General features: G+C 41.1%; 1 long non-coding RNA gene across 1 annotated transcript; it reads right to left on the reverse strand.

Moving 5' to 3' along the window:
• Positions 1-266: 266 nt before the first annotated feature.
• On the reverse strand, positions 267-4,676 carry LOC105379235 (uncharacterized). The gene is made up of 2 exons (XR_007060814.1): positions 4,605-4,676; positions 267-740 (listed from the first exon to the last, which is right to left on the reverse strand). It is a non-coding gene; the product is annotated as an uncharacterized LOC105379235 (long non-coding RNA).
• Positions 4,677-16,855: the final 12,179 nt, after the last annotated feature.

The following is a 16,855-nucleotide window of genomic DNA, read 5'->3' on the forward strand; positions in this document are numbered from 1 at the left end:
GGTGTTGGGGTTACAGGCATAAGCGACTGCACCTGGACTTCCTTACAGCACTGCTAGATAAACTTGGACTTATCAATTAAATAATTCCACTATTAACTCGCATACCTAGGAACTTTGAACTTCTTATGTAAATATATACACAAGGCATCTGGCAATGCAAGTTTATAAAGATGAGAAGGCAAAGACCTTAACTGGAGGGGAGGTGGGAGGGAAAGGGGAGGAGTAGTTGGCATGTATTGGGCATTTTTAATGGCAAGTTCCAGAAACCCAACTCAAAAGCAGACTTTATTGGCTTACATAGGGAAAAGCTCATTTCCATATTCAGCTTGACCAAGGGACTCTAGCGATATTGTTGGATCTGGATTGTCCTCTTTTCTTGGTCTCCTGATCTTGGTTCCTTTGTCACCTTCACTCTTGGGCAGTCTTCCAGTCAAGGTGGCCTCACTGCCCAAAGATAACCACGTTTTTCCCAACCATCCCTGTTTTGGTTCTTTTGGTTAGTCACTTTTATAGTCTCTAAAATAAATAACAATATAAACAGGCTTCTATCCCTGCTTCTTGATGAATCAGTATAAGTTTCTTTCCATGATGGAGGAAGATCAGACCATTCATACTTTGCCTGGCTCAACAGAGTTCTATCACGATGCTTGGTTTCTTCTTCTCTGGGACACGTGTGCAGCCTGAAACAACATCCTTACACTTCATGTCTTATTTTGTCCACTGTATCCTGATTCTTCACTCTGTAAGGCAAGGCAATTTCTGCTCACATCCTTCCTTCTGACTCGCCCCACTTCCTGCCACTTCAGGGTTGGTACTTGCTTCATTGTATTCTGTAACCATCATAGATTTGCCTAGGATTTCTCTGTATGTGGATTTTATAAGCAATAAGCAAGTGTTAGGCCAGGTGAGGTGGCTCACACCTGTAATCCCAGCACTTTGGGAGATTGAAGCAGGTGGATCACCTCAGGTCAGGAGTTCGAGAACAGCCTGACCAATATGGTGAAACCTCATCTCTACTAAAAATACTAACATTAGCCGGGCGTGGTGGTGCGTGCTTGTAGTCCCAGCTACTTGGGAGGCTGAGGCAGCAGAATTACTTGAACCCGGGTGATGGAGGTTGCAGTGAGCCGAGATCGTGCCACTGCACTCCAGCCTGGGCAACAGAGTCAGACTCCGCCTCAAAAAAAAAAAAAAAAAAGGAAGTGTTATTTATATTACTCTAAGCATGTAAATGTTGTTTACTGATATGCACATTACTATACTAGGGTTTATTCTCTGTAGGTCTAATGTTATCACTACTCTGCCTTTCAGTGGAGACTGTGACTAACATTTAGTTCAAATACATATTTTTAATACTCCAGTACTTGCCTTTATCAAAGCCTCAACTTTTTCTAACTTTAAATCATACTTTTCTTGTTGCTGTTAATTCCCAGAACCCTCTGTCTTTCTATTCCAATCTAGATCTCTACTCGCTGCTCTCTGGGGTTGAATTTGGTTGGTCTCCTGAATACATGACTTATTTCTTGTTTTATACTCTTATTTTATCTGGGCTCTAATTTCAAGTAGCTCCCTAAGAAAGGGATTATGAGAGGTAAACTTTGGACTCCTTGCCTACTTTGAAGTGTCCATTTTACCTTCATCCTGGATATGGAATTCTAAGTTGGAAATAATTTTCCTTTAGAGCTTGCTCCCTTGAGTTCCTGATTCACCGATGCTGATAAGTCTGATGCCAAGCTAACTTCTGTTCTCTTTTAGGAAGAAACCTTTTTTTTTTCTTTTCTTTTTTTCTGCATATGTTTACTATCTCTTTATCCCTAGTATTCTGAAATTTCATAATGCCATATCTAGGTAGAAGTCTTTTTTCATCCTTCGAGCCTTTACTTAGAGGAATCTCTGTTTAATCTAATAACTTGTGTCCTTCTTCAACTCTGGTATATTCTCTCTTATTATTTCCTAGCTAGTTTCTTCCTCTCTGCATTTCTTTCCAAAATCCTTGTTAATCTGATGTTGGACTACACGTATTGATCCCTTGCTCTTAAAGTTTCTTTCATATTTTAAAATCTTTTTTTCTTATACACTAAGAGATACTCCCAAATTTATCTTTCAATCCTTCCATTGCATTCTTTAAATTTCTGCAATTGTGTAGCCACATTTTTTAATTCAAAGAGCTCTTTCTTATTCCCTCATGGCTCATTTATTCATAGAATATAATTCTGGGTTTTACAGATTTTGTTTTGCTTGTGTTTTCAGTAATCTTCTGTATCCTGAATTATCTGTGCTCTGTTTTTTGGGGGAGGGGGTTACTGCTTGATTTTTAATTTTACATTGCAAATATTAGGTGCATTGTCTATGTGTAAAACCAAAGCAATAAAGAGACTGAATTGAGAGCTCTGTGTCTAGAACCTGGGTTGCTGACTGTCAGCCTTTTTAATGGGACAGGTGGGGAACAGGCTGTTATGCTGGGGCACCTCTACATGGAATTGGATGCAGGGCTTGACTCTGGTTACACTCCTTATTAGGTCCTCTAATTTTCCCCAGATGGTTTTTAAAGTTGAGAATAACTTTTTAAAAAAATTCTTAAATATCTTTATTTTTTAAAAAATTAAGAACATCTCTATCCATTATGATGGTTACTATAAAAAATAATAAATGTCAGCAAGGATGTGAAGAAATTGGAATGCTTGTGTGCTGTTGGTGGGAATATAAAATGGTGCAGCCATGATGAAAATCAGCATTGTGGTTCCTCAAAAGGCTAAACATAGAATTACCATATGATCCTGCAATTCCACCACTGGGTATATACTCAAAAGAATTGAAAGCAGGATCTTGAAGAGATATTTGCATACACATGTTAATAACAGCATTATTTATAATAGCTAAAATGTGGGAGCAACCCAACTGTCCATCGATGGATGAATGAATAAGCAAAGTGTGAGCTATACATACAATGAAATATTATTCAGCCTTAAAAAGGAAGAAACTTCTGCAATATGCTATAACATGGATGAACCTTAAGAACCTGATGCTCAGTGAAAGAAGCCAGTCACAAAAAGACAAATACTGTATGATTCCACTTAGATGAGATTACTTAGAGTGGTCAAAATCACAGAGACAGAAAGTAGCATGGTGGTTGCTAGGGGCTGGAGAGAGGGCGGAATGGGAAGTTATTGTTTAAAGGATATAGAGTTTTGGTCTTACAAGACTAAATGAGTTAAGGAAATGGATGGTGGTGACGGTTGCCACAACATTACGAATGTATTGTCTGGGTGTGGTGGCATGCATTTGTAGTCCTAGCTACTTGGGACGCTGAGATGGGAGGATCACTTGAGGCTATAGTGAGCTGTAATCCTGCCACTGCACTTCAGCCTGGGTGACAGAGAGACCCCATCTCAAAAAAAAAAATAAAAAATAAATAAAAGAAAAAGAAAAAAAACCTGCAAAAAACCATTATGAGTATATTTTAAAACACTGAACTGGGGTCAGGTACAGTGACTCATGCAATCCCAGCACTTTGGGAGGCTGAGGAGGGGAGATTGCTTGAGGCCAGGAGTTTGAGACCAGCTTGGACAACATAGTGAGATCCCATCTCCAAAAAAAAAGAAAAAAAAAATTAGTCAGGCGTGGTGATGCACACCTGGAGTCCCAGCTACTTGGGAGGCTGAGATGGGAGGATTGCTTTAGCTGGGAGGTGGAAGCTACAGTGAGCTATGATTGTGCCAATGCACTGGGAGACAGAGCAAGGCCCTGTCTCAAAAACAACAACAACAACAAACCCAAAAACACTGACCTGCACGACTGAACTGCACATTTAAAAATAGTTAAGAATATGAATTTTATGTTATGTGTATTTTATCACAATAAAAAGAAGTGAAAGAGAAAATCAACTGTCCTCAATTTTTGGTAGGAGAAGTTCCCGGTTACGGCAGATTTGTGCGCTGTGGTAGGGAAGAGTTGGAGGTTGGGCTGTCTACATGCTCCATCTGCAGGCCTTCAATTACTCCTCAGCACCACTTCTCACACCACTGCCTCATGTAACCTGCTATCTCAGAGTACAGAGTAGAGTTTTTTCAGGTCGTGCAGCCCCTTCGTTTATATTCCAGGCTGACTTTCCTTCTTTTCCCTTTATTTGTCATCATTCTTCCATCTGCTTTATGTCTTCTAGCAGTCCATTAAAACTCTTTACCTACTGTTAGCTCTCCTGCCATTCTCTTGACTCTTATGTGTTTATACCTTTCAAATTCTTCTTGTCATCTTTTTCATGGGATTTCGGGAGGAGGGGTGATACCCATGTGTGCTTGGCACCTCCCCCTGAACTGTCCAACCAGCAGTTGTTAATTTTGTGTAGAGTGGATGTGTCTCTGGATTTTCTATTGATTACGGATGTAGAGAGACTTTGAGTTTACTTTAAAATGCTCTAGTTTAGGGTTGGAACGAAACTTACACTTTAATAAATAAATCCCCATGTCTTAATTCAGGGCTGGATGGAAACATGGACTTGAATAAATAAGTCCCACGTCTTTCTTATATCAGTCATGGTTCAATTGGAGAAGCATGGCCGCTAGGTATGCGCTTATTTATTATGTATTATAAGGATTTGACCTTACCCAGTTGTGGGAGGTGATTGGAAAAGTCTCTCTCTGGCTGTTTTCTTAGTACTTGATCCTGGGGTTTGAGTCCTGCAGGGTGGACAAGGAAGATATATGTAAATTGGGGGAGAGTCAGGATGAGACGGAACCAGAGGCACAAGTTGGAGTCCTTAAGGATGGATTGAACCTGTGTCAGTTCTTGTTGCCCTTGGCCTTGATGGTGTGGGTGTCCTGCAGGAGGAGCTGGCACTCTTGATCACAGAAGTAAATATACGCTTGGTTCAGGACTTGGAGAAGACGAATGGGGATGTGAGAGAAGGGGAAGCAGCTTGAGGACTGATTGCTGTCTCACCGGATCCAACTGAGCCAGCAGGTGAGTGACAACATGTGGGAGCTGCCTAATCCCCTGCACCTGCCTGCTGAGAGTGAGAACCACATGGCTGCAGCCTTACCTCTACCCTCCCAATCTCCGAGACCTGCCCCAGCTGGGAATTCACAAGCAAATGAATTTTAGGAACCAGTTCCCTCTTCTCAAGTTGACACATTACAAAGCCACCACACTTTTGGAATAGAAAAATTAGGCTCAGAAAGATTACATGAATTACACAAAGCTTGATAACTCTTTTAAAACTTGGACTAGTAAGCAGGACTTTTGATTTCCAATACAAATACCTTTAAAAAATGTCGGGGATCAATTCAATGAGAAGAGCTAACTATCCTAAATATATATGCACCCAATACAGGAGCACCCAGATTCATAAAGCAAGTTGTTAGAGACCTAGAAAGAGACTTAGACTCCCACAAAATAATGCGATACTTTAACACCCCACTGTCAACATTAGACAGATCAACGAGACAGAAAGTTAACAAGGATACCCAGGAATTGAACTCAGCTCTGCACCAAGCTGACCTAATAGACATCTACAGAACTCTCCACCCCAAATCAACAGAATATACATTCTTCTCAGCTCCACACTACAGTTATTCCAAAATTGACCACATAGTTGGAAGTAAAGCACTCCTCAGCAAATGTAAAAGAACAGAAATTATAACAAACTGTCTCTCAGACCACAGTGCAGTCAAACTAGAACTCAGGATTAAGAAACTCACTCAAAACCACTCAACTACGTGGAAACTGAACAACCTGCTCCTGAATGACTACTGGGTACGTAACAAAATGAAGGCAGAAACAAAGATGTTCTCTGAAACCAACAAGAACAAAGACACAACATACCAGAATCTCTGGGACACATTCAAAGCAACGTGTAGAGGGAAATTTATAGCACTAAATGCCCACAAGAGAAAGCAGGAAAGATCTAAAATTGACACCCTAACATCACAATTAAAAGAACTAGAGAAGCAAGAGCAAACACATTCAAAAACTAGCAGAAGGCAAGAAATAACTAAGATCAGAGCAGAACTGAAGGAAATAGAGACACAAAAAACCCTTCAAAAAATCAATGAATCCAGGAGCTGGTTTTTTGAAAAGATCAACAAAATTGATAGACTGCTAGCAAGACTAATAAAGAAGAAAAGAGAGAAGAATCAAATAGACGCAATAAAAAATGATAAAGGGGATATCACCACCGATCCCACGGAAATAAGAACTACCATCAGAGAATACTATAAACACCTCTATGCAAATAAACTAGAAAATCTACAAGAAATGGATAAATTCCTCGACACATACACCCTCCCAAGTCTAAAACAGGAAGAAGTTGAATCTCTGAATAGACCAATAACAGGCTCTGAAATTGAGGCAATAATTAACAGCTTACCAACCAAAGCAAGTAGAGAACCAGATGGATTCACAGCCGAATTCTACCAGAGGTACAAGGAGGAGCTGGTACCATTCCTTCTGAAACTATTCCAATCAATAGAAAAAGAGGGAATCCTCCCTAACTCATTTTATGAGGCCAGCATTATCCTGATACCAAAGCCTGGCAGAGACACAACAAAAAAAGAGAATTTTCGACCAATATCCCTGATGAACATCGATGCAAAAATCCTCAATAAAATACTTGCAAACCGAATCCAGCAGCACATCAAAAAGCTTATCCACCATGATCAAGTGGGCTTCATCCCCGGATGCAAGGCTGATTCAACATATGAAAATCAATAAACGTAATCCAGCATATAAACAGAACTAACTACAAAAACCATATGATTATCTCAATAGATGCAGAAAAGGCCTTTGACAAAATTCAACAACACTTCATGCTAAAAACTCTCAATAAATTAGGTATTGATGGGACGTATCTCAAAATAATCAGAGCTATCTGTGACAAACCCACAGCCAATATCATACTGAATGGACAAAAACTGGAAGCATTCCCTTTGAAAACTGGCACAAGACAGGGATGCCCTCTCTCACCACTCCTATTCAACATAGTGTTGGAAGTTCTGGCCAGGGCAATCAGGCAGGAGAAGGAAATAAAGGTATTCAATTAGGAAAAGAGGAAGTCAAATTGTCCCTGTTTTCAGATGGCATGATTGTATATCTAGAAAACCCCATTGTCTCAGCCCAAAATCTCCTTAAGCTGATAGGCAACTTCAGCAAAGTCTCAGGATACAAAACCAATGTGCAAAAATCACAAGCATTCTTATACACCAATAACAGACAAACAGAGAGCCAAATCATGAGTGAATTCCCATTCACAATTGCTTCAAAGAGAATAAAATACCTAGGAATCCAACTTATAAGGGACGTGAAGGTCCTCTTCAAGGAGAACTACAAAACACTGCTCAATGAAATAAAAGAGGATACAAACAAATGGAAGAACATTCCACGCGCATGGGTAGGAAGACTCAATGTCATGAAAATGGCCATACTACCTAAGGTAATTGATAGATTCAATGCCATCCCCAACAAGCTACCAATGACTTTTTTCACAGAATTGGAAACAACTACTTTAAAGTTCATATGGAACCAAAAAAGAGCCTGCATTGCCAAGTCAATCCTAAGCCAAAAGAACAAAGCTGGAGGCATCACACTACCTGAATTCAAACTATACTACAAGGCTACAGTAACCAAAACAGTATGGTATTGGTACCAAAACACAGATAGAGACCAATGGAACAGAACAGAGCCCTCAGAAATAATGCCGCATATCTACAACCATCTGATCTTTGACAAACCTGACAAAAACAAGAAATGGGGAAAGGATTCCCTATTTAATAAATGGTGCTGGGAAAACTGGCTAGTCATATGTAGCAAGCTGAAACTGGATCCCTTCCTTACACCTTAGACAAAAATTAATTCAAGATGGATTAAAGACTGAAATGTTAGACCTAAAACCATAAAAACCACAGAAGAAAAACCATAAAAACTATAGAAGAAAACCTAGGCAATACCATTCAGGACATAGACATGGGCAAGGACTTCATGTCTAAAACACCAAAAGCAACAGCAACAAAAGCCAAAATTGACAAATGGGATCTAATTAAACTCAAGAGCTTCTGCACAGCAAAAGAAACTACCATCAGAGTGAACAGGCAACCTACAGAATGGGAGAAAATTTTTGCAATGTACTCATGTGACAAAGGGCTAATATCCAGAATCTACAATGAACTCCAACAAATTTACAAGAAAAAAACAAACAACCCCATCAAAAAGTGGGCAAAGGATATGAACAGACACTTCTCATAAGAAGACATTTATGCAGCCAAAAGACACACGAAAAAATGCTCATCATCACTGGCCATCAGAGAAATGCAAATCAAAACCACAATGAGATACCATCTCACACCAGTTAGAATGGCGATCATTAAAAAGTCAGGCAACAACAGGTGTTGGAGAGCATGTGGAGAAATAGGAACACTTTTACACTGTTGGTGGGACTGTAAACTAGTTCAACCATTGTGGAAGTCAGTGTGGCGATTCCTCAGGGATCTAGAACTAGAAATACCATTTGACCCAGCCATCCCATTACTGGGTATATACCCAGAGGATTATAAATCATGCTGCTATAAAGACACATGCACACGTATGTTTATTGCGGCACTATTCACGATAGCAAAGACTTGGAACCAACCCAAATGTCCAACAATGATAGACTGGATTAAGAAAATGTGGCACATATACACCATGGAATACTATGCAGCCATAAAAAAGGATGAGTTCATGTCCTTTGTAGGGACATGGATGAAGCTGGAAACCATCATTCTCAGCAAACTATCGCAAGGACAAAAAACCAAGCACCGCATGTTCTCACTCATAGGTGGGAATTGAACAATGAGAACACATGGACACAGGAAGGGGAACATCACACACCTGGGCCTGTTGTGGGGTGGGGGGAGGGGGCAGGGATAGCATTCGGAGATATACCTAATGTTAAATGACGAGTTACTGGGTTCAGCACACCAACATGGCACATGTATACATATGTAACTAACCTGCACGTTGTGCACATGTACCCTAAAACTTAAAGTATAATTTTAAAAAAATGTCTGCACTTTACTATAGACATAACACATTCTTATTAGAGAAAATTTGAACAACATAAGAAACTTAAGGTAAAAGATCACCCATAGTTTCGTCATTTAAACTCAAATAATTGTTAATATGTTAGTGTATTCCCTTTCATTTTTTTCTCTGCTTATCTACCTGTATTTCCATAATTATATGACACATGCATAAATATGTATTTTCTTATGCATTAAAATCTTTATCAGCATAATCAGTAAGAACTTATTCAACCATTTGTCTAAAAATAGATGTTAAGGCTATCACTTTTTTTTTTTGCTAATACAAATAACGATGAGTATCCTTGTGTATATATTTTTATTCTTATTTTATCCTTATGTTAGACTCTTAAAATTGGAAGTGTATACACTGAAATTGCTTTCATCAAAGATTATTCCACTTTAGCAGAAGTGTGTGAGAATATCTGTCTTCCTAAGCCTTGACAGCATTGTTTATTATCTTTTAAATACCTCTGTTATCAAATTTTATCTTATCATTGTTTCCATTTATATTGCTTTGATTACTTGGAAGGGTGAACATTTCACCGGAGTTTGTTAATCATTTATAGTTAATTTTGGGGAATCGTTTATCCACTTATTGATGGAGGGTCTTCATGGTTTTTTTGTGTGTTATCTTTCACTATGTTAAATATATCAATTCCTTGTCATTTTGTTACAGATACTTTCTTTTTCTTAAGCGATTCAGTGCCCTGAGTCATAACCATGTGGAATAATGGGCTCCTGGGAACAGAAGCAACAGCTGCGTGGAGGGTGAGGACAAGCTGACATTTAGAAATATTCTGGTCAAGAGTTCCAATTGGTGTTTGTTTGCTGAGGGCGCTGGTGTGAAGCCCGGCTGAGTCATGAGGTTGGACAGACAGTCCAGGAGCGGCTGAGTAAGGCAAGGTGGGGAAGGGCACATGCTCTGGGGCTCCCTGAGAATTAGGGAAAGCGACTGATGAAGTGGGTGTGATGGAAACAGAGAAAATGACATCTTGGAGTTTACAGGCAAGGACCGTCCTTAGGCTTTGGGAAAGCTCAAGTTGAGATAACAGATGGATGCAATTCCATTCCCTAGGACCAAGGAAGATGCTCAAAAATATAACTCTGACAAATGCATGTAAGAGGATTCTAAAAACTTAAACTTGGAGGAAAGCAGCCCACATGTTTTGCTTTTCAATATCCGAGACCTGGGGGAAATATGTTTGGATGTGGATTTTATTCTCGAATAACCACAAATTTTCTATGTATTGAATGGGAATTCATATTCTCATCTACATAGCTCATCTATATCACATATCTCAGATGTGTTGCAACCATCTAAGTTAGGACACAGTGATTAAGGTGGAGGCATTACCCTCCCCTACCTGAAGAAGGTTTTATTTGTTTCGGAGGGGGCTTGTTAAGGAGGGAGGTTCTGATCAGATTTAGACTGTGAGAGAAGTAAACAGGACAGAAAGGAGATGAAAGGAGATTTTAATAAGTGTTACTGTTTATTATGTCAATGTCTAATGTTCCAAGAAACAGGAGTAGGAACAGTATCTCTTCTTATTTTCTATTTCCGATTGAGTTGTGCAGTAAAGCAAATTCCAAAAGTCTCATGAAATATGGTAAAGTAGGATTAGAAAACAAAACTGTTTGGCTTTTTCTTAAGATAAAAAGCACGGCTTTTTTTCTTTTTCTTCTCTTTCTTTTTTTTTTTTTTTTTTTGAGACAGAGTCTTGCTTTATCACCCAGGCTGGAGTGTGTAGTGGCTCGATCACAGCTTACCACAGCCTCCAACTCCTGGCCTCAAACAATCCTCCTGCCTCAGCCTCCCAAAGCGCTAGAATTACAGGCATGAGCCACCACGTCAGGCCCCAAAAGCATGGATATTACTCTGAATTTGAACTTCAATCTTGGTGTATAGAAAACTCAGATAGGATGGTATATATTTTTGTATATTCACATGCCTTTGTGTGTTCATTTATTCATGTCTATTTCACTCCAGCAAGGGTGTGAGCTTTCCTGTTTGTCCTGCTGCTTCCTTTCCCTTCTCTTCTACATCGGGTGAGCTTTTACTCATACTCCAAAAGCCAATTCAATTATCAGCCGCTCTGTGAAACCTTCCCCAGCTCACCCAGGCTGGATGAATTTCACCCTTCCTCATGCTTCTATGGCTATCCCATTTAGACTGTTAACAATGTCTACTAGATGATAAGCTCCCTGAGGCCTCATTTATCTCTATGTCCTCGGCATCAGCCCAGGCCCACTATGTGTACAGCATGAAGCACAGGAAGCCCTCTGTGCTCATCCTTCCTGTTTCCCTCTGTCTTTCTGGCTTCGCTCTGCTTCCCCGCCCAGGACCCCCAGGGGCTTGGACTCCTTCCTCAGCCTGTCTCCAGTGTGCGTGCAATTGGCCTTGGCTGGGTGGATCCGTTGAATTCTGGGCGAAGTGTGGGCGAGTTCAGGGGGGCTGTGATCTGAGCCAGCTGCTATCCGTCATCAGCCTGACTGTCGCCCTCCGTCTGGCTAGCTCCGGTGCCTCGCTCTCAATCGCTCCCTGACTCAGGAATGGAAGAGATGCATTATCTATTGCTCCCCTGCCAAACTCCCAACATCTGACATTTGTACAGTGCTTTTCAGCTTACAAAGCACTTCCACATCCATTATTTCAAGGGCTGTAAATAAGGCAACAAAGTGCTGCCGGAGTATCTGGAGCCAGTGATTAATTTCATTTGGGGAAGCCACAGAATGCCTCACGAGGAGCACGCGAATCAGGCTGAAGGTCTCTGAATTCTGCCCCTTCCAAGGCATTGTAAAGAGAACACAAGCCGCGGAGGCCATGCGCACATTTCCAGCATTTGCTTCAACTACCCTCTGGTGTGCTTTTCTCAGCCACTGCGCCTTCATGCATCTCCCCCTGATCTCTGACATCCGTGGGTAATGAGCTGGGGTTTCTAATTCCTACCACAGGAGGTCCTGGCTGGGTCAACCTGTTTGGACATGCTACTGTGATATGACCTGGCGTCCTCTGGGGGTCAAGACCCCATCATCCTTTTCTGGGATCACGCTCTGTGACCACGACTCTTTTCCTTGGTGTTGCTACCGTAGAATCAGCTGACAAGGATGACAGCTTTGAGCTCTAATATTCTATGATCGTTGGTCTTCATAACTTTAGAAGGAACTGGGTTTCTTCCCTTAGCCACAGCAAAGGCCTCATGATATCAGAGATACTGTCACACGCGGGCACACACACGGTGACTCTGCGGTCACCATCAGTTTTCCTAGGATGTGGGTTCACCAGGAGGCACTTCATGAATGTGGATGGGCTGAAAGGCACTTTGGAACAAACAGCTTCCACAAAAGTGGCAAATTCTAATCAACATTGTTTTTCAAAGTGTTAGAAGATACATTGCATTTCAAGGCAAAGGGAAAAAAAATAGAATTGGAAGTAAAGAAAGGGAATTGACAGACAGAAATGAAACAAGTCAATCTAATTTCAAAGCCCGTCCTGAACCAAGGGTAAAATAACACACAGGGTTTGTGAAAAAAGGAAATCTAATATTTATAAGGGGTTCAACATCTAAGGGATAATAAATTGCACTTCAGAGGAAATGCCGTATTAGATAAATTTTATCTTGACACTGAACCCTTTAAAATGCCTGTAAAGCTTGTCTTGTACATCTGTTCTAGCCCACATACCAGTCTGTCCCTGGTAGTAACTGAAGGGTTATTTTGCTGAGAAAAATCTCTTTGACTTAGAAGCTGGAAGAAAGAAGAGGGAAGCTCAGAGATTGGAATCTAAATGAGTAATAGAAAAATTTCAAATGCCACCGTGGCAGGGAAAAGATGAACTCAAGTCTGTGATAACTGACACTTCTTACATTCAATTCTATTCTATCTTCCCTCCAAACACACTCTTAGCCTGGTTTAACATCATTTAAGTCTGTTTGGAATCACAGTGGAGAAAGCGACAAAGGAAATGGAATCGGTGAAGTGCATTGTTGGGTGAAATTACCTGTGGAGATGGGACACTGGGTGGTCCTGAGTCACTATGGACTGAGCTCCTGTGGCCCTCGATAACAGGTGCTGATGGGGTGGGAAGGACAGTGTCTCCAGCTGGGAGTGTATAGGTTTGGGTGGGTAGGGTGTGTGTTGGTTGACTTCTATGTGTCAAGTCGACTGGGCCAAGGGATGCCTAGATAGCTGGTAACACATTGTTTCTAGGCATGTCTGTTGAGGGTGCTTCTGGAAGACATTACCATTTTACTCAGTAGATGGAGTAAAGAAGACCCACCCTCACCAATATGGGTGGGCAGCATCCAGTCTGTTGTGGGCTCAAATAGAACAAAAAGGCAGAGGAAGGAGGAAATCACTTTCTCTTCTGGACCTGGGACGTCCATCTCCTCCTGCCCCTGGCCATCAGCACTCCTGGTTTGGGGGTTTTCACCTCAGACTGGGACTTACACTGTCAGTTTCCTGGTTCTCAGCCTTTGGGCTTGGACTGGAAGGACACCACTGGCTTTCTTGGGCCTCCAGCTTGCACATGGCAAATTATGACACTTTTTGGCTTCGGTGATTGTGTGAGCCAAGCCCTCATAATAAGTCTTTCTATACATCTATAGATATTCTATTGGTTCAGTTTTCTGGAAAGCCCTGATGAATACAGGGAGTAAGGGACTAAGTGCAGTACACATGGAGGGTGTTGTGTATGCGTGCACGTGCATACGTGTGCATGTGCACGTGTGTGTGATGCAGAGTGATGGTTGGGATCTAATGGGTGGGTGAGCCACCCGTTAGCAGGTGAGGTTCCTGCTGGGAGTTTCTGCTGGAGCTAGAACTCCCTTGGCTTTGTGACTCAGCTGCTTTAGTTGGTGATTTACCTCATTCATCAAAGCTTCAGAAGGGACACCTTGTAAAACAATGGCAAATAATCCTAACTATGACCCCAGGAAAAGGGTGGATATTGTCCAGCATTTGTTCAATATCAAAGGTAATATGTTTTATACAAATGCACTTTCACTTTACCTATGAATAATCAGATGATTGTGATATTCTCATACCTTATATTTAGTGATGAGCATTCAACTTGACATTATGAATGTTCAATAAACCTGGATTCAAATGCAGTTTCACCACTTACCTTAGAAACTTTGAGTCCTTTGAACCTAGTTTCATGATTTCCAAAATGGGGATTAAATCCACTTTGAAGGCGTGTTTGGAAGATTGAGAACATTTGGTAAAGGGCCTAGAACACACTAGGTGCTAATTAAATTCCTCTTTCTTTCTGCATCCTGAACACATTTGATTTTTTTTAAAGAAGAAAAAAGTATTATACTAGATTTTTATTTCAAAAAGTAATTCATCCTTAGGCCTTAGATATTTGACCAAGGCACTAATTCCTAAATCTTAAAAATAAAAGTGGCCATAAATATCATATCATTCTTTTTGAAATTTTTTATTTGGAAATAACTGAAAATTTGTAGAGAAGTTGCAAGTATAGGAATAGTCTCTCTCTCTCTATGTATGTATACATATATTCATAAAATTTTTCTGAACCATTTGAGAATGAGTGGCATTCAATTCAGCCCTTATCCATTAATATTTCAGTGTTTATTTCCTAAGAATAGGGCTATTCTATTATTTTACCATAACGTAGTAATCAAGTTCAGCAAATTTCACATTGATAGAATACTTTTCATCAAATTTCTATCCTTATTCCAGTTTCATCAATCAGCCCAATAATGTGCTTTATAAAACATTTCTCTTTCTGCCAATACGGGATGCAGTATAGGATTGGGCATTCCACTGCCATGTCACCTATAATCTGGATGAATGGCAACTATATCTTACCATTTTTATAATCATCGGTCTATGAGGTACATGTACATGGCTAGCTACTGCGCTTATAATTCAATTAAGAGGGGACTGGAATAACCACCTACTATTTACCTGGACATTCAGTGGCTTCTGTCTGCAGCAAAAATTATAGACTCATCTATCTGGGTTTCTAGTCCACTGTAATATACCCTGTGATGGTTAATTTTCTGTGTCACCTTTACTGTCCCATGGGATGCCCAAACATCTGGTTAAAATTCTTTCTGGGTGTGTCTGTTGGGGTGTTTCCAAAAGAGGTCAGCATTTAAATTGGTAGACTGAGGAAAGCACTTAGCCCTTCCCAGTGCCTGAACATCATCCAGTTTGTTGAAGGCTTGGAACAAAAAGAATAAGGAAGGTAAAATTCATTCTCTGACTGCGTGAGCTGGAACGTTCATTTCTTCTTGCCTTTGGCACTCCTAGTTCTCAGGCCCTCAGACTTGGACTGGAGTCTACAGAATTAGGTCTTTGGCTCTCAGGAGGGCTTCAAACTGCACCACTGACTTTGCTGGGTCTCCAGCTGCAGATGGCAGATCATGGGACTTCTTGGCCTCTATAATCATGTGAGCCAATATCTTATCATCTCTCTTTCTCTCTCTCTCTCTAGATATATGTATCTCCTGTTGGTTCTGTTGGTTCTGTCTCTCTGGAGAACCCTAATATACACTCTAATTATCTATACACTATTCCTCATATGGAGTTGGCAACTTGTAGATGGAGGAAGCATAAGCTTGGTGCAGGCAGCTCTGGGTGTGGATTCTAGTTCTACTACTTGTCGACTGCATGGCCTCTAGCAAGTTTAACTTCTAATTTCTTGCAAATAAAGTTATAGCCGCTCAATAAATAATTGTGGAATGGATACATATATCCACTTCATAGACTTGTTGGGAGGACTGTGTGCAATAATTTACCTAAATGAGCCTGCAAAGGTGCTTGGCACACAGCACGTTCTCAAAAATGATTATTCCTTTGCCTTGCTTCTGTCAACCCCTATTGACTCCAATAGGCCGAAGAAGAGACCTGGAGCCAGCATGAGACATGAGGTTTATTGAGGACTCACAAACGGGCTGTCCAGTGTGGCAGGCTGGATAGGAGAAGTGCTACTTCTTGTAGAAAGCATATATACAGGCCGGGCGCGGTGGCTCATGCCTGAAATCCTAGCATTTTGGGAGGCCGAGATAGGAAGATCATGAGGTCAGGAGATCATGACAATCCTGGCTAACATGGTGAAACCCCGTCTCTACTAAAAATACGAAAAAAAAATCACCCGGGCGTGGTGGTGGGCGCCTGTAGTCCCAGCTACTCTGGAGGCTGAGGCAGGAGAATGGCGTGAACCCGGGAGGCGGAGCTTGCAGTGAGCGGAGATGGTGCCACTGCACTCCAGCCTGGGCGACAGAGCGAGACTCCGTCTCAAAAAAAAAAAAAAAGAAAGAAAGAAAGCATATATGTAGCAATTTTAACTCAGCACGTTTTACCTAGCAACCTACATTTAACCCACCCCCAAAAAAGGCCTCCATCCCCTACATGGCCTGCCTTCCAAGGAATGGAACAGGGGTTCGGTTGCCTTTCGTAGAGACAGTGAATCTCCAGGTTGGCCACTCCCAGATTCCTTAGCTGGGAACTCTGAACACACACTCTTGTTAGAGCATAGGGTCATTCTTAGGGTGTGCTTCAGTTATTGCTGTCATGTGCATCTGTCATACAGCTTCTTGCTAGAGTAAGATCGTCCACCTCCTTAAACCATGTGATGGGGTTTGGCTGTGCCCACCCAAATCTCACCTTAAATTGTAACTCCCATAATTCCCAAATGTTGTGGGAGAGACGCAGTGGGAGATCATTGAATCATGGGGGTGGTTTCCCCCATACTGTTCTCGTGGTAATGAATAAGTCTCATGAGATCTGACGGTTTTATAAGGGGTTTCCCCTTTCACTTTGCTCTCATTCTC

This window comes from Homo sapiens, chromosome 8 (assembly GCF_000001405.40).
Source record: "Homo sapiens chromosome 8, GRCh38.p14 Primary Assembly".
In the NCBI taxonomy this organism is placed as follows: Eukaryota; Metazoa; Chordata; class Mammalia; order Primates; family Hominidae; genus Homo; species Homo sapiens.